This window comes from Homo sapiens, chromosome 7 (assembly GCF_000001405.40).
Source record: "Homo sapiens chromosome 7, GRCh38.p14 Primary Assembly".
NCBI lineage: Eukaryota > Metazoa > Chordata > Mammalia > Primates > Hominidae > Homo > Homo sapiens.
In genome coordinates, this window is record NC_000007.14 from 73991150 (window position 1) to 74014754 (window position 23605).

The window sequence follows — 23605 nt, forward strand, 5'->3', positions numbered from 1 at the left end:
TATGCGTCTCACTCACTGCTGTGCCCATGGGAGGCACTCACATCGTTGAATGAATTTGCAACTGATAACAGCGTGAGAGCGTAATGACGTAATATAATAATAACAGCATTAGACCCTGTCTCTAAATGAAAAACATTTTTTCAAGCAGCTAGTACTTATGCAGTGCTTCTCCTACTGGATCTAACTCAAACACCCTATGAGACAGGGAGTATTACTGCTTCCCATTTTTCAGATGTGGAAACTGAGCCTCAGAAGATGGGTTGGCTGGCCAGGCACCGTGGCTCACACCTGTAATCCCAGCACTTTAGGAGGCCAAGGCAGAGGGGATCACTTGAGGTCAGGAGTTCAAGACCAGCCTGACCAACATGGTGAAACCCCATCTCTACTAAAAGTACAAAAATTAGCTGGGCATTAGTAGTGCATGCCTGTAGTCCTAGCTACTTGGGAGACTAAGACAGGAAAATCACTTGAACCCAGGAGGCAGAGATTGTAGTGAGTCAAGACTGCGCCACTGCGCTCCAGCCTGGGCCACAGAGAGAGACTCTGTCTCAAAATAAATAAATAAATAAATAAATAAATAAATAAATAATGCCTGGAGCCCATCTTCCCTTGCTGGGAAGCATCAAGTCCCTCCTCATGGCTGGGACAGAGAGCGAGAAGTGGCAGGGCTGTCACTGGACAGACAGTGATGGTCCTTCCAGAGCCCACAAAGGAGCTGAGGCTCCATCCTGCAGGACAGGAGACCGTGAGGTCATCAGGCAGCAGAATGACAGGGCTTCCTCTGTAAGCTAGGGGGATGGAGTGAGGGTGGCAGGGAGGCTGAGGACAGCATGGATGCCTGGGAAGTCTGGGCAAATGCCGTCAGTGATCCCCGGCCGCCCTTGGTCTGGATGGTCCAGATGGCCTGGGCCAGTTGTTTGCTCTTGGGGGCTTCCCTGGCATGACCAAGCCCCCTGGAGAGGGGCCTGGGCAGCAGACAGGGTGAGGGCTGCCTCCCCAACCCAGACCTGGGAACGTCCGGGCTGGCAGAGGGCCCGCTGGAGGCTGGTGAGAGGCCCACTTACCATGACGGATAGGGGCCCCGTCAGGCCGCGCCAATTAGGCAAGATGGAGTGCCAGGACAGGGCTATAAATATCTTGGCCGCCGACTGGCCCAGGAATGTAAATGGTGTTGCTCAACAAGCAGGGAAAAATGTTCGGTTCAGACAGGATGGGTTTTTTGTGTTTTAAAAACATGTTCTGCTCTCCACGAAGACTTCGAGGTGGGCGGCAACGAGGCCGGTGCCCGAGGGCTGGCTCCTTGTCCAGTCCCGCCTGGGGCAAGGGCCCACGAAATCAGTCTTGCAGGGGAAGTCCCTGGAAGGGCCAGTGCATTTGAAGCCCAGAGAAGGCCTGAACCTGGCTTGAAACTTTGTCCCTGGTCACAGGGGACCCTGGGTGAGGGAGCAGCCTAGCCATCTGGTTTGGGGACACGCAGCCCAGTCGGCTATCAGGGGCACCAGCGGCGGGTACAATCGTCTCCCAACACTGGCTCCTCTTCAGAGGTCTCTGCCCTGTTGTGGGTGTGTGGCTGGACAGGGCATCGTGTGTAGGTTACCGGACAGGCAGAGAGAAGCGAGGGCCGAGGGAGAAGGGCAGGCACTTGGCGTGGCTGCAGTGTGGGTGCACTCACCCCTGCGGGAGTGGTACCGCTTCTGCAGAGGGCACGGGAAACCTTACAACTGATGCACCTTGTAATCGATGACTTTTTTTTTTTTTTTTGAAATGGAGTCTCGCTCTGTTGCCCAGACTGGAGTGCAGTGACATGATCCCAGCTCACTGCAACCTCCGCCTCCTGGGTTCAAGTGATTCTCCTGCCTCCGTCTCCTGAGTAGCTGGGATTACAGGCACATGTCACTATGCCTGGCTCATTTTTGTATCTTTTAGTAGAGATGGGGTTTCACCATGTTGGCCAGGCTGGTCTTGAACGCCTGACCTCAAGTGATCTGCCCCCCTTGGCCTCCCAAAGTGCTGCGATTACAGGCGTGAGCCACCATGCCCAGATCATTTTTATATTTTTTTAATAGAGATGGGGTTTCACTATATTGGCCAGGCTGGTCTCGAACTCCTGACCTCAAGTGATCTGCCCACCTTGGCCTCCCAAAGTGCTGGGATTACAGGTGTGAGCCGCTATGCCCTGCTAATTTTTGTATTGTTTTAAGTAGAGATGGGGGTTTCACAATGTTGGTCAGGCTGGTCTCGAACTCCTGACCTCATGTGATCCACCTGCCTCAGCCTCCCAAAGTGCTGGGATTATAGGCGTGAGTCACCGCGACCAGCCCCAAAGGAGCACTTTTGTGGGAGACCAATGGGTGCATGAAGCCAAGGGAAAGTGCATTTGCGGAACTCCAAGGGTGTGTGGTCTTGTGCACAATCAAGGGAGTAAGTGTTCCTAAAGGTGTGACTTGTGTGACCATCCAAAGGCTGCCGGGGCGGGGGGATCCCAGAGAGCACAACATGGCAATCACGAAAATATGTTGGTGTCATTTCTCGGTCTTCAAAAATGACGGACACTGCTGGTCGCTGTGGCTTCCTCCTACGCGTTCGGTCACTCCTGCACATGTCCGCAGTAGTGGTGCTCTCGGGGACCCCCTCGCCACCCCACAATACCGCTCACCACATGGCCAAACAGGTTCGTCTTTTTCCATGTGATTTCTTCTTTTGCTAGAACATTTATAAAACTTCTTAGGAAATTTAAGGAATGTTAAGGAAGTTAAGGAAAAGTTATGAACGCTTTTCCAGAGGCTAAAAAAGAATTCAATTTATTTCCTACTAGCTAGTCTAGAATTTTATTACATATTTATGTAAGTTTTAACTTTATAATCTGTCTGGAGGTCATTTTAGTGTTAGATATAAAGCGTTAGCTTATTTGCTTCCACCTCAAATGCCTGCCCCATTTCCCATTGTTGTGTAGTGCTTGTGTTATCATGGATTGCATTTTTATGTAGGATTGGTTCTTATACATAATCGCTGCTTTGTAACCTATTCCAACGGTGCGTATCCCTGATCTCATTCCAGCATCACGCTATTAAATGTTTGTTCCCTTAGACTATGTTTTATGGAAGAGTTTATAGCACAGTAGTTAAGATTATGGGCTTTGAAGTCAAACTGGCGGAGATCCACATAAGACCTTTGCCTCTTAATAAATGTGTGACCTTGGGCGAGTTACCTCACAGTTCCTCATCTGTAAAATGGACTTCTGGGAGGTTGAAATGGTTTAGTTCTGTGCCTCTGCCCAAATCTCATGTCAAATTGTAATCCCTAAAGTTGGAGGTGAGGCCTGGTAGGAAGTGATTGGATCATTGCGGGGGGATTTCCCCTTTGGTGCTGTTCTCGTGACAGTGAGTGAGTTCTTGTGAGATATGGTGGTTTAAAATGTGTAGCACCTCCCTCTCTCTCTCTTCCCCTTGCTACGGCCATGTGAAGACGTGCCTGCTTTCCCTTCACCCTTCTGCCGTGATTGTAAGTTTTTTGAGGCCTCCCCAGCCACGCTTCCTGTATAGCCTGTGGAACCATGAGCCAATTAAACCTCTTTTCCTTATAATCACCCAGTTTCAGGCATTTCTTTATAGCAGTGCAAGAATAAACTAACACAGAGGCCTGCAGTATCTCCCTCACACATTCAGAACAAATTGAGAACTAGATATAGACATCAGATGGCTGATAATAAGGCTGATAAAACATCAGCCTTATTATTGAGTAGAGGTGGTTGCTATCCACTGCCACAACTTGTATTTAGCATTGCACTGGAGTTCCTAGCCAATGCAATAAGACAGGAAAAGGAAATGAAAGGGATAATGATGGAAAAAAAAACAAGACAAAAAACAAAGCCTCAGTGGGCTTCCTGACATTTGCCCCTGCTTTAGATAGACTCAAGCCCCCTAGTCACAGGTAGTACCAGACCCCCTAGATCTTCACCACACACACACTTTCTCAGATAAACCCTATGCCCAGAAAATTACTATGGAGCACAGCAGAAAATACTGAGAGAGGAGACACAAGGATGGAAAGCAAGGACAGGAGTGTTCCTTTAGCAAAAGTCCTTTCACATATGAGGTAGAGGTGGTGATGGAGACTCCCCCAGCAACAACCTCATCTAGGGCCGTAGTGAGCACAGGTTGGTAATCTCTGTGAAGCACTTGGCTTGGTGCTTGCCACACTTGTAGGTGTACAGTAAATGCTGTTCTTAATATCAGTATGTGCAAGGTCTTACTTCATTTCATTTCTCCTCTTGTCCTGGAATTCTAAAACAGTTGTCATTGGTGTTTTCTTTTAAATGAAATGTAGGATCGTTTGGTGATGTTCTAAGAAAAAATATTTCCAGCTGAGCACAGTGACTCACGCCTGTAATCCCAGGGCTTTGAGCCTGAGGCAGGAGGATGGCTGGAGGCCAGGAGTTCAAGATTAGCCTGTGAAGCATAGCAAGACCCCGTCTCTACAAAAAATTTTCAAATTAGCTGGGCTTGGTGATGTGCACCTGCAGTCCCAGCTACTCGGGAAGCTGAGGGAGGAGGATCACTTGAGCCCAGAAAGTTGAAGCTGCAGTGAGCCATGATCACCCCACTGCACTCCAGCCTGGGCAACAGAGTGAGACCCTGTCTCAACTTTCCTCCAACCCTTGGCTGCCCCCCACTCCTTACCCTACATCAGCATGTAAATGATTCTGGGGGATAGGGTAGGAATTAATCCCAAACAGAAGGAACTAGAAGGATAGCCTGCAAAACTCAGAGAAAGGGAAGCTTGCACTTTAGTACAAAGCTTGCACTACAGAGGAGTCAAGGGTCAAGTGCATAATGAGAGTGGCAGGGCCTGGCCGAGGTGGGCAGGGAGAGGTCAGTGGGTTCCAGGGAATTTGAGGCCCATGACTAAGCTGCCTCAGGGGGGCTGATGGGCAGGTATTATAAGCAGGTTGCAGAGGAGAAAAGAGGCTCTGGAAAAGCCAGGAGGTGTAGACAGCCAGGTGGGCTCACCAGGTATGACGATGTGGGCACAGGAAGTGAAGGTTAAAGCCAAGAGTGGCACAGTCTCCTGGGGATGCTGAGCCCATGTCCCAAGGTCGGGGTCCTGGTTCCAGTGTCCAGCTCTAACCCCAGCCACTGTGTGTGTCTGGGCAAGCTGCCAACCCTCTCTGGGCCTCAGATTCTCTTTGTCAAAGGACAGGCACCTCTCTGTGCCATGATGCTGTGAACCTCTTCCCTGCTGATGGGGTATCCCTACACCCCCAACCCACTCTTCCTCTTCCAAGACAGCCTGAGGCTAGTTTCTCTGCCCTGTTTTCCCACCAGTGACCCAATATCCTCCCCATCTTTTTTTTTTTTTTTTTTGAGACAGAGTCTTGCTCTGTTGCCCAGTCTGGAGTGCAGGGGTGTGATCTTGGCTCACTGCAGCCTCCGCCTCCTGGGTTCAAGTGATTCTCCTGCCTCAGTCTCCCAAGTAGCTGGGATTACAGATGTGCACCACCACACCTGGCTAATTTTTGTATTTTTAGTAGAGATGGGGTTTCGTCATGTTGGCCAGGCTGGTCTCGAACTCCTGACCTCAGTATCTCCCCCATCTCTGAAAAGGAGAAACACTTGGGTCTCCTGGTTCCCATGCCTCCCTGCTCACAGCTCCATGGTCCAAGAACTTCTAGGGTAGCAGCCCCTCTGTTCCCCTCTTCACCACCCCCCCAGCCCCTGTTTTCATTCATTCGTTAGTTTAGCCAATCTCCACTGTCCTTCTTATGTACCTGGGCTTCCCCAGTCCTTAGGAAAACAAAGAAAAATAAGCCAGAGACGCAGCCACCTGGAGCTCATGGTCTACTGGGGGACCTTTCATAGACAAGCCCATTCTTTATTCATTCCAGAAATGTTTTCTGAGTGGCCGCCCTATCCCTGGAACAGGAAAACCACCGGTGGGCACACAGACCCAGCCTCTGCTCCTGGGGGGCTTCCAAACTGGAAGTCAGAGAACCAGGAAATCACGACATATAGGATGTGGGAGAGCCCAGGCCAGAGTTGGAGATAACAGAAGGCTTCCTAGTGGAAGTGATGTCTGAGTGAAGACAGTAGCTGAGCAGACATCAGCCAGCCACAGTCGCAAGAGAAGAGAGATGAGGAAGAGAGGGCTTCAGGAGAGGGACGCCAAGTCCTGGCTCAGAGGGGAACAAAGTGGCTTAAGGCCGGGGGAAGGGGGAGAAGATAGCTGGAGCAGAGCTGGAGAAAGAGAGCTGGGGGTGAGATGGGCGCAGTAGTCTGGAGCCAGATATCACAGGGCCCTGCGGGCACAAAAGGGATTTTCTGTTATCCTACAGCTGGTGGGAAGTTACTGGTTTTAGGCAAGTGGCATGATGAGATTTACATTTCTTTTTTCTTTTCTTGAGACAGGGTCTCACTCTGTCACCCAGGCTGGAGTGCAGTGGTGCAATCAAAACTCACTGCAGCCTCGAACTCCTGGGCTCTGCAACCTCCGCCTCCCAGGCTCAGGTTATCCTCCCACCTCAGCTTCCCAAGTAGCTGGGACTACAAGCATGCACCACCATGCCTGGCTAATTTTTTTTTTTTTTTTTTTTTTTTTTTTTTTTTTTTTTTACTTTTCATAGGGATGGGGTCTCACTATCTTGCCCAGGTTTGAACTCCTGGGCTCAAGCAATCCTCCTGCCTCGGCCTCCCAATCTGTTGGGATTACAGACATGAGCCACTGCACCTGGCAAAGATTTGCATTTCTATACATCAAGCTGGGCTGGACGTGGTAGCTCATGCCTGTCATTCCAGCATTTTTGGAGGCCAAGGCAGGAGGATTGCTCAAGCCCAGGAGTTCAAGACCAGCCTGGGCAACATAGTGAGGCCCCCATCCCTACAAAAAGTTAAAAAAAAAAAAATTAGCCAGTCATGGTGGCATGCACCTGTGGTCCCAGCTACTCAGGAGGCTGAGGCAGGAGGATCACTTGAGCCCAGGAGTTGGAGGCTGCAGTGAGCTAGGATCACACCACTGCACTCCAGCCTGGGCAACAGAGCAAGACCCTGTCTCAAAATAAATAAATACCAAAAACAACAATGCTATCAGGTTGGGCTGCATGGAAGTCACTGCTGACCTGGGTGAGAGTGTTTGGGTGGCGGGTGGGGGCCAGAGCCAGGCAGGAGCCGGCCAAGGAGTGAGCAGCAGGTGAGAAGTAGAAACACGTGTGCAGACAGCTCTTTGAAGAGTTTGGCCGTGACAGAGAGGTGAGAGATGGGGCAGCCAGAGGTGGGAGTGGGGTTCAAGAAGGGGTTTCTTTTATTTTGTTCATGGAATGCTTAAATGCCAACGAGAAGGGGCCAATAAAAGGAGGCGTGGCTGGAACCCTAAAGGTGGTTCGTGGGCTGAGACGTCTGAGCAGGTGGAGGGGAGGGAAGGGGAACCAAGCATGGGTGGGGTCACCCTTTGGCAGAAGTGGCCTCTCATCCACAGGGAGATGGCCATAGACTTGGACATTTGGAGACACAAGGGTAAGGACAGTCCCCTAGAGCTAGCCTGAGGCTGAGGACAAAAGGTCAGAAATTCTCAGACAGCGCTGGGCGCGGTGGCTCACACCTATAATCCCAGCACTTTGGGAGGCTGAGGAGGGCAGATCACTTAAGGTCAGGAACTCGAGACCAGCCTGGCCAACATGGTGAAACCCCATCTCTACTAAAAATGCAAAAAAAATTAGCTGGGCGTGGTGGCGCACGCTTGTAAATTACCCCTGCTACTCAGGAGGCTGAGGTGGGAGAATCGTCTCTTGAACCCGGGAGGCAGAGTTTGCAGTAAGCCAAGTTCGCACCATTGCACTCCAGCCTGGGTGACAGAGCGAGGCTCTGTCTCAAAAAAAAAAAAGTTCTCAGACAGTGAAGGGGGTATGGAGGATTGCTGTGCAAGAGCTCAAACAGAGGGAAGCCCAAAACCAGCTGGGGTCTGGGCCACAAGTCATCATGAGCCGGGCTCAGAGGACACGGTAGACCTGGAGCCAGGTCTCAGTCTGGAGTTGGAGTTAAGACGTAGGCCAGGTGTGGTGGCTCGCGCCTGTAATCCCAGCACTTTGGGAAGCTGAGGCGGGTGGATCACTTGAGGCCAGGAGTTTGAGACCAGTCTGGCCAACATGGTGAAGCCTGTCTCTACTAAAAATACAAAAATTAGCCAGGCAAGGTGGCTGGCACCTGTAATCCCAGCTGCTCGGGAGGCTGAGGCAGGAGAATTGCTTGAACCTGGGAGGTGGAGGTTGCAGTGAGCTGAGATGGCACCACTGCACTCCAGCCTGGGTGACAGAGCAAGACTTCATCTCAAAAAAAAAAAAAAAAGACTCAATCTGGGATCAGAGAGGGCTCTGCCCAGAGTCAGGAGCAGATGGTGAAGGCAAGGCCAGAGCCCCCCACCCCTGAGGTCCATCCTGAGCTCAGGGTCCAATCCCTGGTGGTCCTGAGGTTGAAGATAAGCTCCCTGAGCTGCTCACCCTTCGGGTGGCCGACCTGGCCCAGCTTCTGTCCAGGAACCTCCTCAGCCCCGATCCCAAGGGGAAATGCCAGCCCAGACCCCACTCTTCCTTTAGGCCAGGAGGGCCCCCCAAAACCCAGGCCCACCCTCCCCAGCAGCCGGGCCACGAGCCGAGTCCCGCCCTACCCAGTCCAGGGTGAGAATTCCGGCCACACGCCCCTGTGATGTGGTCACGTTGGAAAAATGTTAATCAAATATTCTCCTCCGTGTTTCTTTTCTTTCCCAGGCTGAATTCCTAGAAGACAGGAATTTATGGTGTGAGAGCTCCAGTCCCCGCAGACCCACTGCCAAGGTCAACAGCACGAGGCGGGCATCCCTGCCAAGTGGGGAGTGGAGTCGTGGCTTTAGGAGTTGGTTGCAAGGAAAAACCAAAGTACGTGCATTAAAAAAGAAAAAAAAAAAAAAGAAATCCCTTCTCTCCCTCAAGTTCCCAAACTGGGGCTTAAACAAGGTCTCCCAGCATGGCCCGGGCAGGCCTCTGGTCTGGGAACAGAGTCTCCCTTGGAGATAGGGCCTGCGACGCTGTCACGGGGGCGTCCCTCGGGTCCCTGGAGGGTCTGGAAGTTGCTCCTTCTCTCAGACCAAAGCTCAGCAGCTCAGCCTCACGGGGCGGCGGGTGGGGGGGGGCGGGGGCGGGGGCAGGATCTCCGTGGTGACCCCACCTCTCTGGCCAACCCAGGGCAGTTGACATGAACACAACACATATCATCCTGGGCCCTGTCACCAAGCCCCCTGAGGTGGGAGCCTGCTTCATCTCATCTCGCCTCTGCCATCTTGGTTCTGGGGTCTTGACTCTCCAGAGAGCAAGCTCCTCGCAGACTCGGGCACCAAGGTCTCTGGCAGCAGAGAGACTGGGGATGCTGCCTGTAGTAGCGGAGGGGAGGTGAGGAGGGGGCTGGAGACCACCCAGACTCAAACCCAGATGACCCGATGCTGGGAAGATAGCCTTGGCCCCAGCCCCGAGCCCCGCAGGTGTAACTGAGCATCCACGTGTCACCCATCTGCCTGACACGTGCTGAGTTCCACTGTGTCCCGGGCACCTGGAAAAAGGGGAAACCAAGGCAGAGGAGGCCTCACCGCCAAGTGGGGCATGGAGGAAAGACTGATGAAAAAATGGAGGTGACTGTCACATGAGAACCAGGGGGCTGGAGGGACTGTGGGTCCCCGGAGGAGAGAGCGGCCGCCCTGGGGCTGCAGGGGAGGACGCTGGTTTGAGAAAGCTTTCTGAAGGGAGTTGCACCCTGAGAGGGGCCAGAGTTCACCAGGCGGACACGCAGTGGGAGAGGGGGCTTGCTTGGAAGGAACATTCCAGCTGAGGCCAAAGCATGTGCAAAGGCCCAGAATGTTTATACCTTGGTAAGACTTTTCATATAAATAAGTTCTCAAATCCAAAAAACAAAACGGCCTCTGGCAAGCCACATGTCTGGGTTTCTTGCTTGGAAAAGGAAGCCCTGCCCTGCCCCAAGCCTGGGACCACGAGAAAGTGGGGCCTGACACTTCTCAGGTCCCTGCCCCCTTCCCTGGCAGCCACACAGACAGCACCACACCGTGCACCCCCCAAGAGAGTCCTCAAGCCCTGTTCTGTCTGTCCCCTCCTCACTGCCTCACACCAACAGCCTCCTCACCGTCACCTCACTCCTGCTGGGCGCCTCCTCAGGCCCAAGCACCAACTCCAGCCTGTTCTCTGCCCTGTACCAGGAGGCTGGGGAGTAGACAAGGGGCAGCCTCCTGGAGTCCAGGGTCCTTCCAGGGTCTCTACTCCCTGAATGCATGGGGTAGAGAGAGTCAGAACCTCCAGCTTCTGTTTTTTGTTGTTTTGTTTTGTTTTGTTTTCCCCAAGACAGGGTCTCACTCTGTTGTCCAGACTGGAGTGCAATGGCTCATTGCAATCTCCGCCTCCTGGGTTTAAGCGATTCTCCCGTCTCAGCCTCCCTAGTATCTGGGATTACAGTCTCCCGCCACCACGTCTGGTTAATTTTTGTATTTTTAGAAGAGACGGGGTTTCACCATGTTGGCCAGGCTGGTCTCAAACTCCTGGCCTCAAGTGATCCACCCGCCTCAGCTTCCCAAAGTGCTGGGATGACAGGCGTGAGCCACTGTACCCGGCCTGTTTTAGTGTTTAAATCTCTTTTTGGCCCTGGAGTACAGAGGTTTTATTTATCCAGTCCCTTTTATTCCCATCATTCCTAACCCACCACCCACACCCACAGGCAACCTTTCCAATGCATTCAAGGTGTGCCCTTTCATTCACGTGCGTTCTTGTAAAACAAGGATCACTCATGGCTACTAATGGGGACGGATCTTCCTTTTGGGGTAACTCACATGTCTCAGAACTAGATAGAGGTGAGTGTGCTAAATGCCACTGAATTGTACCCTTTACAAGTGGTTCATGGTTAACTTTATGTTATGTGAATTTTACCTCCATTTCTTAATATGTGTATCACTGTTTTGGAGGAGTTTTGATTTACCCAAGTGGAACTGGGCTATGGATTATATTTCTGTCTTACTCTTTCTTCTCAGAGTCTGGTGTTTTTTTTATTTGTTTTGTTTTTTTGAGACAAGGTCTTGCTCTGTCTCCCAGGTTTGGAGTGCAGTGTGTGATCCTAACTCACTGCATCCTTGAACTCCTGGGCTTAAGCGATCCTCCCGCCTCAGCCTCCTGACTAGCTGGGACTACAGGTGCATGCCACCACACCCGGCTAATCTTTTTAAAAAAATGTTTTTGTAGAGATAGGGTCTCAATATGTTGCCCAGGCTGGTCTTGAATTCCTGGTCTCAAGCGATCTTCGCACCTCAGCCTCCCAAGGCACTGGGAATACATAGCAAGACCTCATCTCTACAAAAATAAACAATTAGCCAGCTGTGGTGGCTCGTGCCTATAGTCCTAGCTACTTGGGAGGCTGAGGTGGGTGGATCGCTTGAGCCCAGGAGTTCAATGCTGCAGTGAGCTAGGTCACACCACTGTACTCCAGTCTGGGCCACAGATGGAGAACCTGTCTCTAAAAACAAAAACAAACAAAAAAGTAAGATTCTGAAGTTGCTAGAACAAATTGTGGGAGAAGATCTTTTGACACAGAAGTGAAGGACTCCTGAAACAAAACCTCAAAAAATGCATAAACCAGAAAGCTTCCCCCGCCAGCCTCCTGCCTCACCCAGAGGAAGTGGCGTTTCCTCCCGGACGCCGGCCTGGGCGCTGCCCACCTGGTGAGTCATGGGCCACTCTCTTCTGAGGCTGGCGGCCTGGCCCGCCCTTCCCGTCGGTACCCAGGAGGGAGCACAGCCTGCAATGGCCGCCTTATCTCACCCTCGCCCATGGCCCCGCAGACATGAGGTCAGGGCCGGGGATGTAATGAGGGTGGGAGGTGGGAGGCAGTGGAGGGTCAGGGAGAGGTCAGAGGTCGCTGGCAAAGCTGTTGCTGCACTTTGGAGGTGAGGGTGGGGGGCAAAGCAGACCCTTAAGGGACCTCAGCCAGGCCCCAGGGCTGGGGGTGGCAAGAGGTTCGTGTCATCACAGTGTGGCCGGGTCAGGGGAACAGGGACAGGTGCCCCAGGCCAGGGGAGAGAGGGCCCCAAACCCCAGCCCCTTCCAGAATCTTATCTCCAGGGGAGAGAGGGACCCAGATTAGGATTTTCTATCTAAGACAGTCCACACCCCTACCCCTTCCAGAATCTTATTTCCAGGGAAGGGAGGGCCCCAGATTAGAATCTCCGATCTGAGCCTGTCCTCACTCCCAACCCCTTCCAGAATCTTCTTTCCAGAGGAGAGAGGGCCCCAGATTATGATTTTCGATCTGAGACAGTCCACACCCCTACCCCTTCCAGAATCTTCTTTCCAGGGGAGAGAGGACCCCAGATTAGGATCTCCGATCTGAGACGGTACGCACCCTCTACCCCTTCTAGAATCTTCTCTTGTTTCTCCAATGGCCCTTTGAGGCCAATCCCCTTCTGGCCAAAACACACGGCCAGACAAGAAAGCCATTGAGAGAACAAGCAAGGGTGTGTCTGTGCCCACTGGGGTGTCCCCAGAGCTCTTTGGGCATCTGTGTCTTACCCCTTTCATCATCCAACAAAGGGTGACTCAACACCAGCACCAGCCCCGCGCCTTCGTCCCGGGAGGGCTGAGTCCTTCTGCGGCGTTGGGTCTGGGTCCCAGGGCTTGCCAGTTCTGCCGATGCCTGTCACCTGGGTGCAAGCCTGTGTGTGGGCCCACATGTGTGCCTGCAGATGTCTCTGCATGTGACATGTGCATGCCAAGTGTCCAGCTGTCTATCCCTTATGCTTAGTCTCTGAGTCTGGGCTGACTGTGCTGATGGCACTTTTTCCAAAGGTTCCTGGTAACTGGGACAAGTCAGTGTGTCCTCCAGCTTGTTGTCAGGGGTCCCTGGGCAGTGCTAGGCAGCAGCTTTTGGATGGGCAGTCAGTCGGTCAACATATGTTTATTTTGGGGTGTATATAGGCGGTCCTGGGGGCTTGCTGTCTCATCTGCCTCCATCCACCGGTCTGCAGGGACTGCAAATGAGGACATAGTTGTCCCCTCTGGCCGGTGTTGCTGTGTGTCTCTGTAGTTAAAGGTGTACCCTGGAGCCCTTCCCCTTCCCTGGGTGCCTGGTTTGTGGGGTTTCTGTCCTGGGTTAGCAGGGGGCAGGGGGACCTAATCCATGGTCAATACCTCCCTCCACCTCACTCCCCAGCAGAAAACCCAAATGTGCATGGAGAAAGAGCACTGGCTCAACTGTCCCCAAAGTATAGAGACAGATGATTAATAGATGCATACATACATGTGTATATGTATGTATACACACACATCCATCCATCCATATGCATACATACACACACATCCATACATGTACATACACAGATATGATATCACATAGAATAAAATACTCCAACTGACGTCTGAACTTTTAATTAATTTTAATTTTTTTTTTTTTAGTATTAGCATTATTATTTTTTGAGACAGGCTCTCACTCTTTCACCCAGGCTAGAGTGCAGTGGTGCGATCTCAGCTCACTGCAGCCTCCACTTCCCAGGTTCAAGCGATCCTCCCACCTCAGCCTCCCAAGTAGCTGGGACTGCAAGTGTGCTCCAGCATGTGTGGCTAATTTTTGTATTTTTTGTAGAGACAGGGTCTCATTAACTTACCCAGGCTGGTTTCAAACTCCAGGGCTCAAGCAATCTACCTGCCTCGGCCTCCCAAAGTGCTAGGATTACAGGTGTGAGCCACAGTGCCTGGCCTGAACTTTTAAATCAAGATTTTATTTATTTATAATTATTTTATTTCATTATTTTATTTTATTTTTGAGGCGGAGTCTCACTCTGTTGCCCAGGCTGGAGTGCAGTGACACAATCTCAGCTCTCTGCAAACTCCACCTCCTGGGTTCAAGTGATTCTCCTGCCTCAGTCTCCCAAGTAGCTCGGATTACAGGTGCCCGCCACCACACCCAGCTAATTTTTGTATTTTTAGTACAGACGGGGTTTCACCATGTTGGCCAGGCTGGTCTCAAACTCCTGACCTCAAGTGATTTGCCTGCCTCAGCCTCCCAAAATGTTGGAGGTTACAGGCGTGAGCCACCCCGCCTGACCTAAGATATTATTTATACAGAGACATGCACACAGCGTATGTGAACTTGCATCAGATCGAATGGGAATTTTCACAAACCACACACATTGCTGTTGACAGCACTCAGATCAACATGCCAGCCCCTCTGACCCCCATTTCCCTTATTCCCCTCCCAGCCCCCAATCTCCCCCTAAGAATAGCCATTGCTCTGACTTCAGCATAGATTCCTTTTGTCATTTTTTGATTTGATGTAAATAGAATCCTAGATTATCTACCCTTACGTTTCAGATTCATCAAAGCTGTTGCATGATTTACTTTATTTTATATTATTTTAGCCTGTGCATTCCCACGACTCTGCCCCTCTCCCGCCGAGTTCTCAGGAGCCCACCACTGGGAAGAAAATCCTAGGGGAGGCCAGGCATGGTGGCTCATGCCTGTAATCCTAGCACTTTGGGAGGCCGAGGTAGGAGGATTGCTTGAGGCCAGGAGTTCGACACCACCGTGGGCAACATAGCAAGACCCTGTCTCACCAAAAACTACAGAGAAGAGTAACCAGGCTTGGTGGCATGCGCCTGTAGTCCCAGCTACTCGGGAGGCTGAGGTGCGAGGATTGCTTGAGCCCAGGAGGTCGAGGCTGCAGTGAGCTGTGATTGCACCACTGCATCCCAGCCTGGGCAACAGAGCGAGACTCTGTCAAAAAAAAAAAAAAAGAGAGAGAGAGAAAGAGAAGGGAAGGGGAGGGGAGACAGAGAGAGAGAGAAAGAGAGAAAGAAAGAGAAGAGGGAAGGAAGGGAGGAAGAGAGGAAGGAAGGAAGGGAAAAATTCTAGGGGAAGACTTTGCAAGGAAACAAACATCTCTAGCTCTGTGAAGCTGTGATCCACCAAGACAGGATATGGCCTCTGGGGCTTCTGTTGAGCTCCCAGATCTATGCCTCGGGCAATGGGGAATGAGAGACCACAGGGATGGGTCTTAAGCTTCCCCAGACCTTCCTTCGTCCTTCCAGGAATGCGCCAAGCAAAAGCAAGCTAAGAGCAGGTGCTGGGAGCAAACAGCTGCCTTGCAGGCAGGACGAGGAGCCTCTTAAGTCTGCAGCCCTATTGGAAAGGCTGGAAGGAGAGAGCTCCCATGGATGGAGAAGCAGCCTCAGATCCCCAAACTGTCTGCACCTCCCTCTAAGACAGGATGGTGTCCGTGGGACAATCGACCCATGTGCTCTCTTCCCAAGCCCTGGGTCTGTACCATGCCTAGGGACACAGATGTGGGCCACATTCCGCTGTCCAGACAACTTTCTTCTTCTCCTCTAAGGCCCAGATTGAGTGACACCTCCCCTGTGATGCCAGGTTGACCCTCTGTCCCCATCTCCCCTAGACCCCTGCAGCTCCTTCTCCAGGACCGCTGGTGCCCGCGCCCAGTTCCGTTTCTTACGTAAGAGGTGATGCCCCCAGGGTCATTCCAGGGTGCAAATCTGTCTATGTCACCCTCTGTGGAAACCTCCCATGGCTCCCAGTGACCTCCACTAACGCACTCCTACTCCTCCGTTCTGCAGGATCTGGGCCCCCTGGCCTGGTTTCTTTCCACTCTGCCCTCCCAAGCTCCCACTCCAAGCCTCGCCTGCTATTTCTTGTCTTTGTACTTTTTGGATTGGGGCCAGCTGATTGCAGTGCTCCCTGCCCGCCTTTAAACTAGCAAAGTTCTCTTTGTCTTCAAAGACTCGGCTGAAAAATGCCTTTCCTCCAGGAAACCTTCCTTGATGGCCCAGGCAGGGCTGGTGCCTCATCTGACCTCTCATACTCCCCACGCATGGGCCCACAGGGTCTGGGCTGGCACAGGGCCCTGGATGTGTCCCTCCATGGAGAGATGTCAGGGAGCCCTGGCCAGATGGCCCAAATGATGAATGTCTCCCAGGGATGTGCCAGCCTTTCCTCCACACTGGGCCAGCAGGTGTCAAGGCAGTGGTGATGCTTTGGGACCAAAGCCAACCTTGGATAGCTCCTCTGATTTGAGCTTCCTCTGAGCCCTCAACTGCCCCCCTACCAGGATCCCACAGCCTCCTAATAGAGCTCCCCACCTGCCTCAGCTCATTCTCCACTTGGCAAGCAGAGAGCACCTGCTCACATGCAGATCTGTGATGCTCCCTGCCTCAAACTCTCCATGGCTCCCCAGTGCCTCAGGACAAAGTCTTGGTCTGGTTCCCAGTGTCTGCTGCCCCATCCCCAGCCCTCACTCTATCAGAGAAAATAGGGCAGGTCCCCAAACTGTCACCCCCTTGAGCCCTTGTCCCCCACATTGCCTCCACCTGGAGAACTCATTCTACCCAGCCACTGGCCACCAGCACTCTATAAACCATTCCTGTTCTCTCTGACTGCTCCACATCGGTCCCCCTGCAGTACCTCTTGCCACCCGTCCTGGGCCATGAGACACTTTGGGGCACTGCTTTTCACTTGTCTATCACCCACTCCAGGCTGTGGACTCAGGGCCGAGGCTCTACTTGGCTCATCTCCATGCCTGGGCCTGGCACACAGTAAGTGTTGAATGAATAAGTGAACGCGCCTATTTTATAGACAAGGCACATGAGTCCCAATACAGCAGCGACAGTGACTCTGGGCCACAGTGGAGTGCAGGCACGGGGCTTCTACGAGACATCCTCTGAGGGTGTGAGCTGGTTTCTGGGCCCCCTGAGATGTGGGACCATGATCCGCCCACTCCCACCTCACTCCAGGTCAGGCCCCAGCAGGGAACAGCAGATTCGACCACCCCTCTAGGACCAGGAGGAAGGTGACCCCTGGAGCCATCTTTGGGGACCTTTGAGAACACTTCTAGGGCCTGGATCACCCAGGGCACCTGTTCTGCAGAGCCAGGAGCTTCTGGACAGGCCCCAGGCTAACCTCAGGGCCCCTCTCTGCCTCCAGGCAGGGCAAAGGTGGGCAGCGCCAGGAGGGTGCGGTAGGAGCCAGAGGCGTTGGGGAGAGGCCAGCCTGATTTATGAGGCAAGCAGGGATGGGATCACTTGGCAAGGTGGGCATGCACGACAGACCCTCAGAGATAAGAGCCCAGAGGTATGCAAGCGATGTAAACAGCTGGGAGCGGGCACCCCAGCTCTCCCGTACCAGCCAGAGACACCCAGACCGGGGAAGGGCAAAGCAGCCATCTCAGATGGAAGAAGGCCCCATGGCCTCCCAGGACCGGGCCTCACTCCTGCTCCAGCCAGCCCGGACCCCTTGTTCCACGTCATCATTTCAACCGTGCCTAACTCTGCATCCTCTCTCAAGGCAAACCTAGTCTCAGAATTTTTCCTGGGTCCTTCAGGGCCCAACAACACTGCACCAGAGCAGGCCACCCCACCTCTCACTGACACCACCGCTTCCATCTTCCAGACCTGATTGTGTCACTTTGCTGCTGGGTCCCTGCTGCCTTCAGGATGACACCCAAGCCCCTTAGCCTGGACGTGAGCCCCTCATGACCAGACCCTGCCAGCCTCTCCTCCTTTGCAGTTCATCATGGCCCTCCTTAAGCTCAGCCATCCTGACCTCCTGCACTTTCCTGAGTGTGCCCAGCATTTCTTGCCACCTCTGGGCCTTTGCAGACGTGATGCCTTGGCTCTAATAGCCTTCTCTGCTCTGATCTGCTGGTGAACTCCTATGCAACCTTCAAAACCCATCTCATAGGTGCCCTCCTCCAGAGTCATTCCTGCCTCTCTAAGGTAAGGTAGGGGCTGCCTTCAGCTCCTGCGGCACCCTCATCCCAATCCAGTCCTCTCAGTCATAGTACTCAGCATTCTTGCAAGCCTGCTACTCTCTTGATGGGGGCTCTCCAGGGCGAAGTCCTCAGGAATGCCCTCTGCAGGTCCCTGACCTCCACCTTGCGCTGTTGAGGACTCAGAATCTCCAAGTTCATGGCTGGGCGTGGTAGCTCATGCCTGTAATCCCAGCACTTCGGAAAGCAGAGACAGGAGGATCACTTGAGCCCAGGAGTTCAAGACTAGCCTGGGCAACAAAGTAAGACCCCATGTCTACAAAAAAAGTTTAAAAAATTAGCCAGGTGTGGTGGTGTGTGTCTGTGGTCCCAGCTACATGAGAGGCTGAGGTGGGCGGATCACTTGAGCCCCGGAGGTCGAGGCTGCAATGAGCTATGATTGCACCACTGCACTCCAGCCTGGGCGACACAGCAGAACCCTGTCTTAAAAAAAAAAAGAATCTCCAAGTTCAAAGCTAAAGGCTCCCACCTTTTGTGAAGAGGCCCTGCACCAAGAGGAAAAAGATCCAGCATCCAACATAGTCCTCCGCTCCACACACACACTCTCTGCAGTCCCCGCTAACTCAGCCCTGGGCCAACAGACAAAAGTACCCTGGCTATGACCCTTCCTCCTGCCTCAAGTCAGGCGGATTGCTTGAGGTCATGGTCACGGCGGCCATGTGAGGGGAATGACCGGGCCCACTGACAGAGGAGGAAACTGAGTCTGGAGGTGGGGAGACATATCTACCCACGCCTACAGCAAACAGTGGGAGAGCAAGCTGTTTGACTCCCTAAAGCAGCCCTTTGTCGAGAGTAGGTTGAGGACATACCCACTCCGGGGACACACCAGCTGGTGCCTGGGCAGGACAATTGGCAAAGCATGCTCAGTCAGGGGACTGGCAGTTGCATGCAAGGACCTGGAATGCACCGCTGCCTGCCCAGGGCTAAGGACACACATCGGCAGGGTCATACCAGTTGTCCCCGTGGAGCAGGGAGATGGATGTACAAGCTGAGCGCCCTGGCAGGAGACAGAACCAGGGCATGGGCTGTGTCATAGGCCGGGTGGCCACAGACAGCCTGTGTGGACGGGAACACAGCTGCGGGCCCACGACACAGCCACGCGGCGGTGTACCCAATGCAGACCCCTGTGATTGTGTGCGTGGCCCAGACTCCACTGCAGATGGTGGCAGAATGTGGCCAGTGTCACCCTGGAGGGAGAATAGGGGGTTGGGAGCAGGTGGGAGCACATGACCCAGTCTGGGGTCCCTAAAAGCAAGCAAGTCCTGAGCGCAGGTTGGATTTGGACAGGACAGGGATGTAGGAACTACATTCTACCCAGGGGGAGTCAGGGAGCAGAAGCCCCTCCACAGGGGGAGGTGGAAGAGAGAGAGCCCCAGGAGTTCAGGGACCCCTACCAGAGCCAAGCTGGAGACCTCCCCCCAGGGGCTGGGCAAACGCACACAGCCCTCTGACGCCAATCACCTCTGCCACCAAGCCCAGCAGCCACAAGGCAGGACTGTGCGTGCCGCCGCAAGCCCCCACCACTGCAGACAGCTGTGACCCCCTCCTCGCTGGCTTCCCACCGGAATGCACGACTTTGGAAGGAGACTGTGTCATCCAAGAAACATTCTATGTTTTCCTTGGTGCGTGCTCTGGGAACGGGGCAAGAACAGCCGTCCACATGGCCGTTTGCATGCTTGGGCGGCTGCCGGGCCGAGGGCCACCCATGCCAGTAGTGTCCTCACTCCGGTGGGGCCTGGCCTCAGCAAAGCCACTCCCTGCACCACCTGCCTGGGAAACCTGGGGGAACATCTCTGGGGCTGGGATCTAGAGGGAAAGAATTTGCAGGGAAGAGAGGTCACCCCCGCACCCAGCCCCCAGCTCTGCTGACCAAGCACTGTCTTTGACAGAGAGACACCCTGGGAGACAGATGGGGTGCAATAAGCACAGCCACAGCCCTCTGAGCCTCAGGCTTCCTCTCCATATAATGGGCTCTCTCACGGCTCTGAGTCTCGGCAGTGGTGGGCTTCCTTGGGGACCCAATGGTGGCAAGGGAGAGAGTGTTAAGGACCAAGCAGCTGCCAGCCTTTCCCCCCACTGCCCCTCTGGCCCTCAGAAATGCCTCCCACCTAGGCAGCAGGTCTGGGTGTCACTGAGCCCAATGCATGAGGTGGCTGACATCGTGCACCCACCGACCAGCCAGTCCTGGATTTGCCCGCAGTAGAGCCTGCAGAGGGGGTGGCAGGTGGTACCTGCCCGCCAGCCCCCAGTCCTGGCCAACCACCCACGCTTCAGGGGTTAACTGCACACTCCAGCCCACTCCTGTTTTCAATTTGGACACAGTGGACCAAGCTTAAGGATTTGCACGTTTCCTTGAACATTTCTCGGCTGGGGTCCGAGTCAGGCGGATTGCTTGAGGTCAGGAGTTCGAGACCAGCCTGGCTAACAGGGTGAAACCCCCTCTCTACAAAAAAATACAAAACTAGCCAGGCATAGTGGCACATACCTGTGGTCCCAGCTACCCGGGAGGCTGAGGTGGGAGGATTGCTTGGACCCAGGAGGTTGAGGCTGCAGTGAGCTGTGATTGTGCCACTGCAATCCAGGCTGGGTGACCAAGAAATAATATTACTTTATTTTCTTTAATTTTATTTATTTATTTATTTATTTATTTATTTATTTATTTACTTTGAGATGGAGTTTTGCTCTTGTTGCCCAGGCCGGAGTGCAATGGCACGATCTTGGCTCACTGCAACCTCCACCTCCCGGGTTCAAATGATTCTCCTGCCTCAGCCAAGTAGCTGGGATTACAGGAGTGCACCACCATGCCTGGCTAATTTTTTGTATTTTTAGTAGAGATGGGGTTTCGCCATGTTGGCCAGGCTGGTCTCAAACACCTGACCTCAGGTGATCCGTCCGCATAGGCCTCCCAAAGTGCTGGGATTACCGGTGTGAACCACTGTGCCCAGCCAGAATATTACCTTAATCAAGCCTCTAGATATAACAGCCAGCTTCTCAGAACACAAATAATAGAATTATATATTACTCCGGGGGGGGTGGATGGTGAAGCTCTGCCCCCAAGACCAGCAGCACCAGCTGCCCCTGCCTGGGTGGCCACTTTACAACAGCAAATCTGGAGGTCGTCCTGGCCCGTGGGCTCCCAATGGAGCCCGAACAGTGGCTTTGACAGATGAGGAAGCCGAGACCCACTGAACAGAGGGAGTGTTCTTAAAGCCAGGGACACCCGGCGCAGAGCCCATGTGGGGCTTGGGGAGCCCAGGGGACTTGTCCCTTGGTCTTCCGCTGAGCAGCTTTGAAGAGGGCGCATATTCTGGGAGTTAGAGACCCAGGTTGGAATGGGCCTGTCTCTGCGTCTCTGGGCCTCGAGTCCCCTACCTTGGGGGCACAGGTGTGTATCTGGGGCCGAGGGGATACTGAGGCTATGCCCTTGGAGACTGGCTCTCTCCAGCTGGCAATCTCATTCAGGGATTCTGGGACTGAAAATCCTCCAGGGCTGGGCGTAGTGGCTCACGCCTATAATCCCAGAACTTTGGGAGGCCGAGGCAGGCAGATCACTTGAGGTCAGGAGTTCAAGATCAGCCTGGCCAACATGGTGAGACCCCCGTCTCTAGCAAAAATACAGAAATTAGCCAGATGTGGTGGCAGCCGCCTGTAATCCCAGCTTCTTGGGAGGCTGAGGCAGGAGAATCACTTGAACCTAGGAGGAGGAGGTTGCAGTGAATCAAGATCATGCCACTGCACTCCAGCCTGGGCGACAGAGTGAGACTCTGTCCCAAAAAAAAGAAAAAAGAAAAAGAAAATGACCTCTCAGTGCCTAGGATGGCAGCCCCCAGGTTCAGGCCCTCAGCTGGAACCCCTGGGGCTGTGAATGAGGTGTGAGGAAGGCGGGGCCTCCAGGCAGCTGGAGTGCAGGAGGGAAGCTGGGCTGGACCTGGGATCTCTGGACCCGCGAGGCCTGCCCGACCTGCCTGCCCCCTGCCCAGAGCGTCTACCTTGGCCTGGCTCTCACCCAGTAGGTGGAGGCCCAGGGGCCTGGAATCAGTCACATCCGGCCCAGCCGTCTAAACAGGCCTGAGGCCCCAGAGCCCGCCGGGCCCAAGGGGAGCCCAAAATAACATCTGAGTCAGCATCCCTGCAGACACCCCCATCAGCCTGGGCCCATAGGGAGGGGCCTAGAGGCGGCCCAGACGGGGACCAGGCCAGGTCAGGCAGCCACCTGCTCTGGCGGGGCCCAGCCAGCGGCCAGCATGGCCCAGGGACATTGGAATTAGCCAAGTGGGGAGAGGGAGATTGGAGAAGAGAAGGGGGCGGCCCTGCCTGAGGTGGGCTCCAGTGCGAGAGAGACAGGGCTGTCTGCAGATGGTAGCAGTTCAGTGCAGCCAGTGTCACCCTGGGGGGAGAATAGGGGGCTGGGAGCAGGTGCAAGCACATGGCCCAGTCTGGGGTCCCTAGAGGCAAGCAAGTCCTGAGTGTGGGTTGGATTTGGACAGGACAGGGATGCGGGAACCACATTCTACCCAGGGGGAGTCAGGGAACAGAAGCCCCTCCACAGGGGGAGGTGGAAGAGAGAGAGCCCCAGGAGTTTAGGGACCCCTACCAGAGCCAAGCTGGAGACCCTCCCCCCAGGGGCTGGGCAGACACATATAGCCCTCTGACCCCAATCACCTCTGCCACTACAGCCCAGCAGCCATGGCCAGGCCTGTCCGCCCCATACTAGCCCTGCCAGACACAAAGGTGGCCCCAGCAGAAGGGACTGTCTGCACTGAGGCATCCACGTCATCCTACCCATCCCTCCAGGTGAGCACAGCCCCCAGGAGACCCAGAGGAGCTAAGATTCCAACACCAGGGCAGGGCGGGCCTGAGATCAGGGACAGGTCCTAGGCCAGAGTCCTTCAGCATCAGTCCATGTGATCTCGACTCCTCCCCAGAGGCGGCCGCAGGAGCGAGCTGGTCCAGGCCACACTGTGTCCTCAGGTCCCCGGGTGGGTGGCTCTGGTCAGTCCCTTTGCTTTACAACTGTGAGGTCGCCCTGCCTCCCATGGCCAAGCTGGGGCAGAGGGCGGATACCTGAATCCCTGCTGGCCTCCCAGCTTAATCCCTCAGCTTTCCTGAGAATGGCTCTGCTGTTCTTGGCCAAGGGCCTCCGCTGAGCCTGGCACAGCCTCGGCTTGGCCCTCACCAGCGAGTGAGGGCTTGGCTGGGGCCCAGCCAGGGCGGTGGACATGATTGAAGCTAGAACATGGGGCCTGGCGGGCGGTGGAGGTTCACTTGGACCCCAGGGAGTGGCTCTGCCGCAGGGTCGGGACTCACCTCCTGGGGCCCCTCTCATCTGACAGAAGCTTCAGGGCCTTCTCCGAGCCCACCTGGTCCAGAAAACATACAGACCCTGCTCCTTCACTCCCCTGAAACAAATCTGGGTTTTCCCACAAGGAAAGAAGCAGAAAGTTGAGAACAAAACCCTGGTTCTCCCTCCTGTTACAGGCCTTGATCGAGTCTCTACCATTTCCGAGGCTCAGTGCAAAGCTCCACGTAGAGGATGCAGAAATGAATTTTCTATGGAGCCCCAGGACGGGGCCACACCTCTTTTTACTGCCCCAGTTTCTCCAAACGGCCCTGAACCAGGGATCTGAGCAGGGCTGTAGCTAAGATTTTGCTGAGCAGCTATTTTGTGCTTGCATGCATGCAATGTGCTTGAGCTCCCTGACTCCCTGCCACACCCTCTCTAAGAGATGAGGAAACTGAAGCTCAGGGAGGGTACCTTGCCCAAG

The 23605-nt window shown here is 54.0% G+C and overlaps 3 annotated features.

Moving 5' to 3' along the window:
- Nucleotides 9103–9603: an enhancer, noted in NCBI's record as "H3K4me1 hESC enhancer chr7:73414582-73415082 (GRCh37/hg19 assembly coordinates)". NCBI's record gives its function as "activates a minimal SCP1, AML or CMV promoter by ChIP-STARR-seq in primed H9 embryonic stem cells {active_cell/tissue: H9 hESC(primed)}" and the evidence as "EXISTENCE:reporter gene assay evidence [ECO:0000049][PMID:30033119]".
- Nucleotides 11594–12793: an enhancer, noted in NCBI's record as "CDK7 strongly-dependent group 2 enhancer chr7:73417073-73418272 (GRCh37/hg19 assembly coordinates)". NCBI's record gives its function as "activates an origin of replication core promoter dependent on BRD2, BRD4, P300/CBP, MED14 and CDK7 cofactors, with strong dependence on CDK7, by STARR-seq in HCT116 cells {active_cell/tissue: HCT116}" and the evidence as "EXISTENCE:reporter gene assay evidence [ECO:0000049][PMID:35650434]".
- Nucleotides 21725–22044: an enhancer, noted in NCBI's record as "active region_26134". NCBI's record gives its function as "activates an Ori minimal core promoter by ATAC-STARR-seq in GM12878 lymphoblastoid cells {active_cell/tissue: GM12878}" and the evidence as "EXISTENCE:reporter gene assay evidence [ECO:0000049][PMID:35858748]".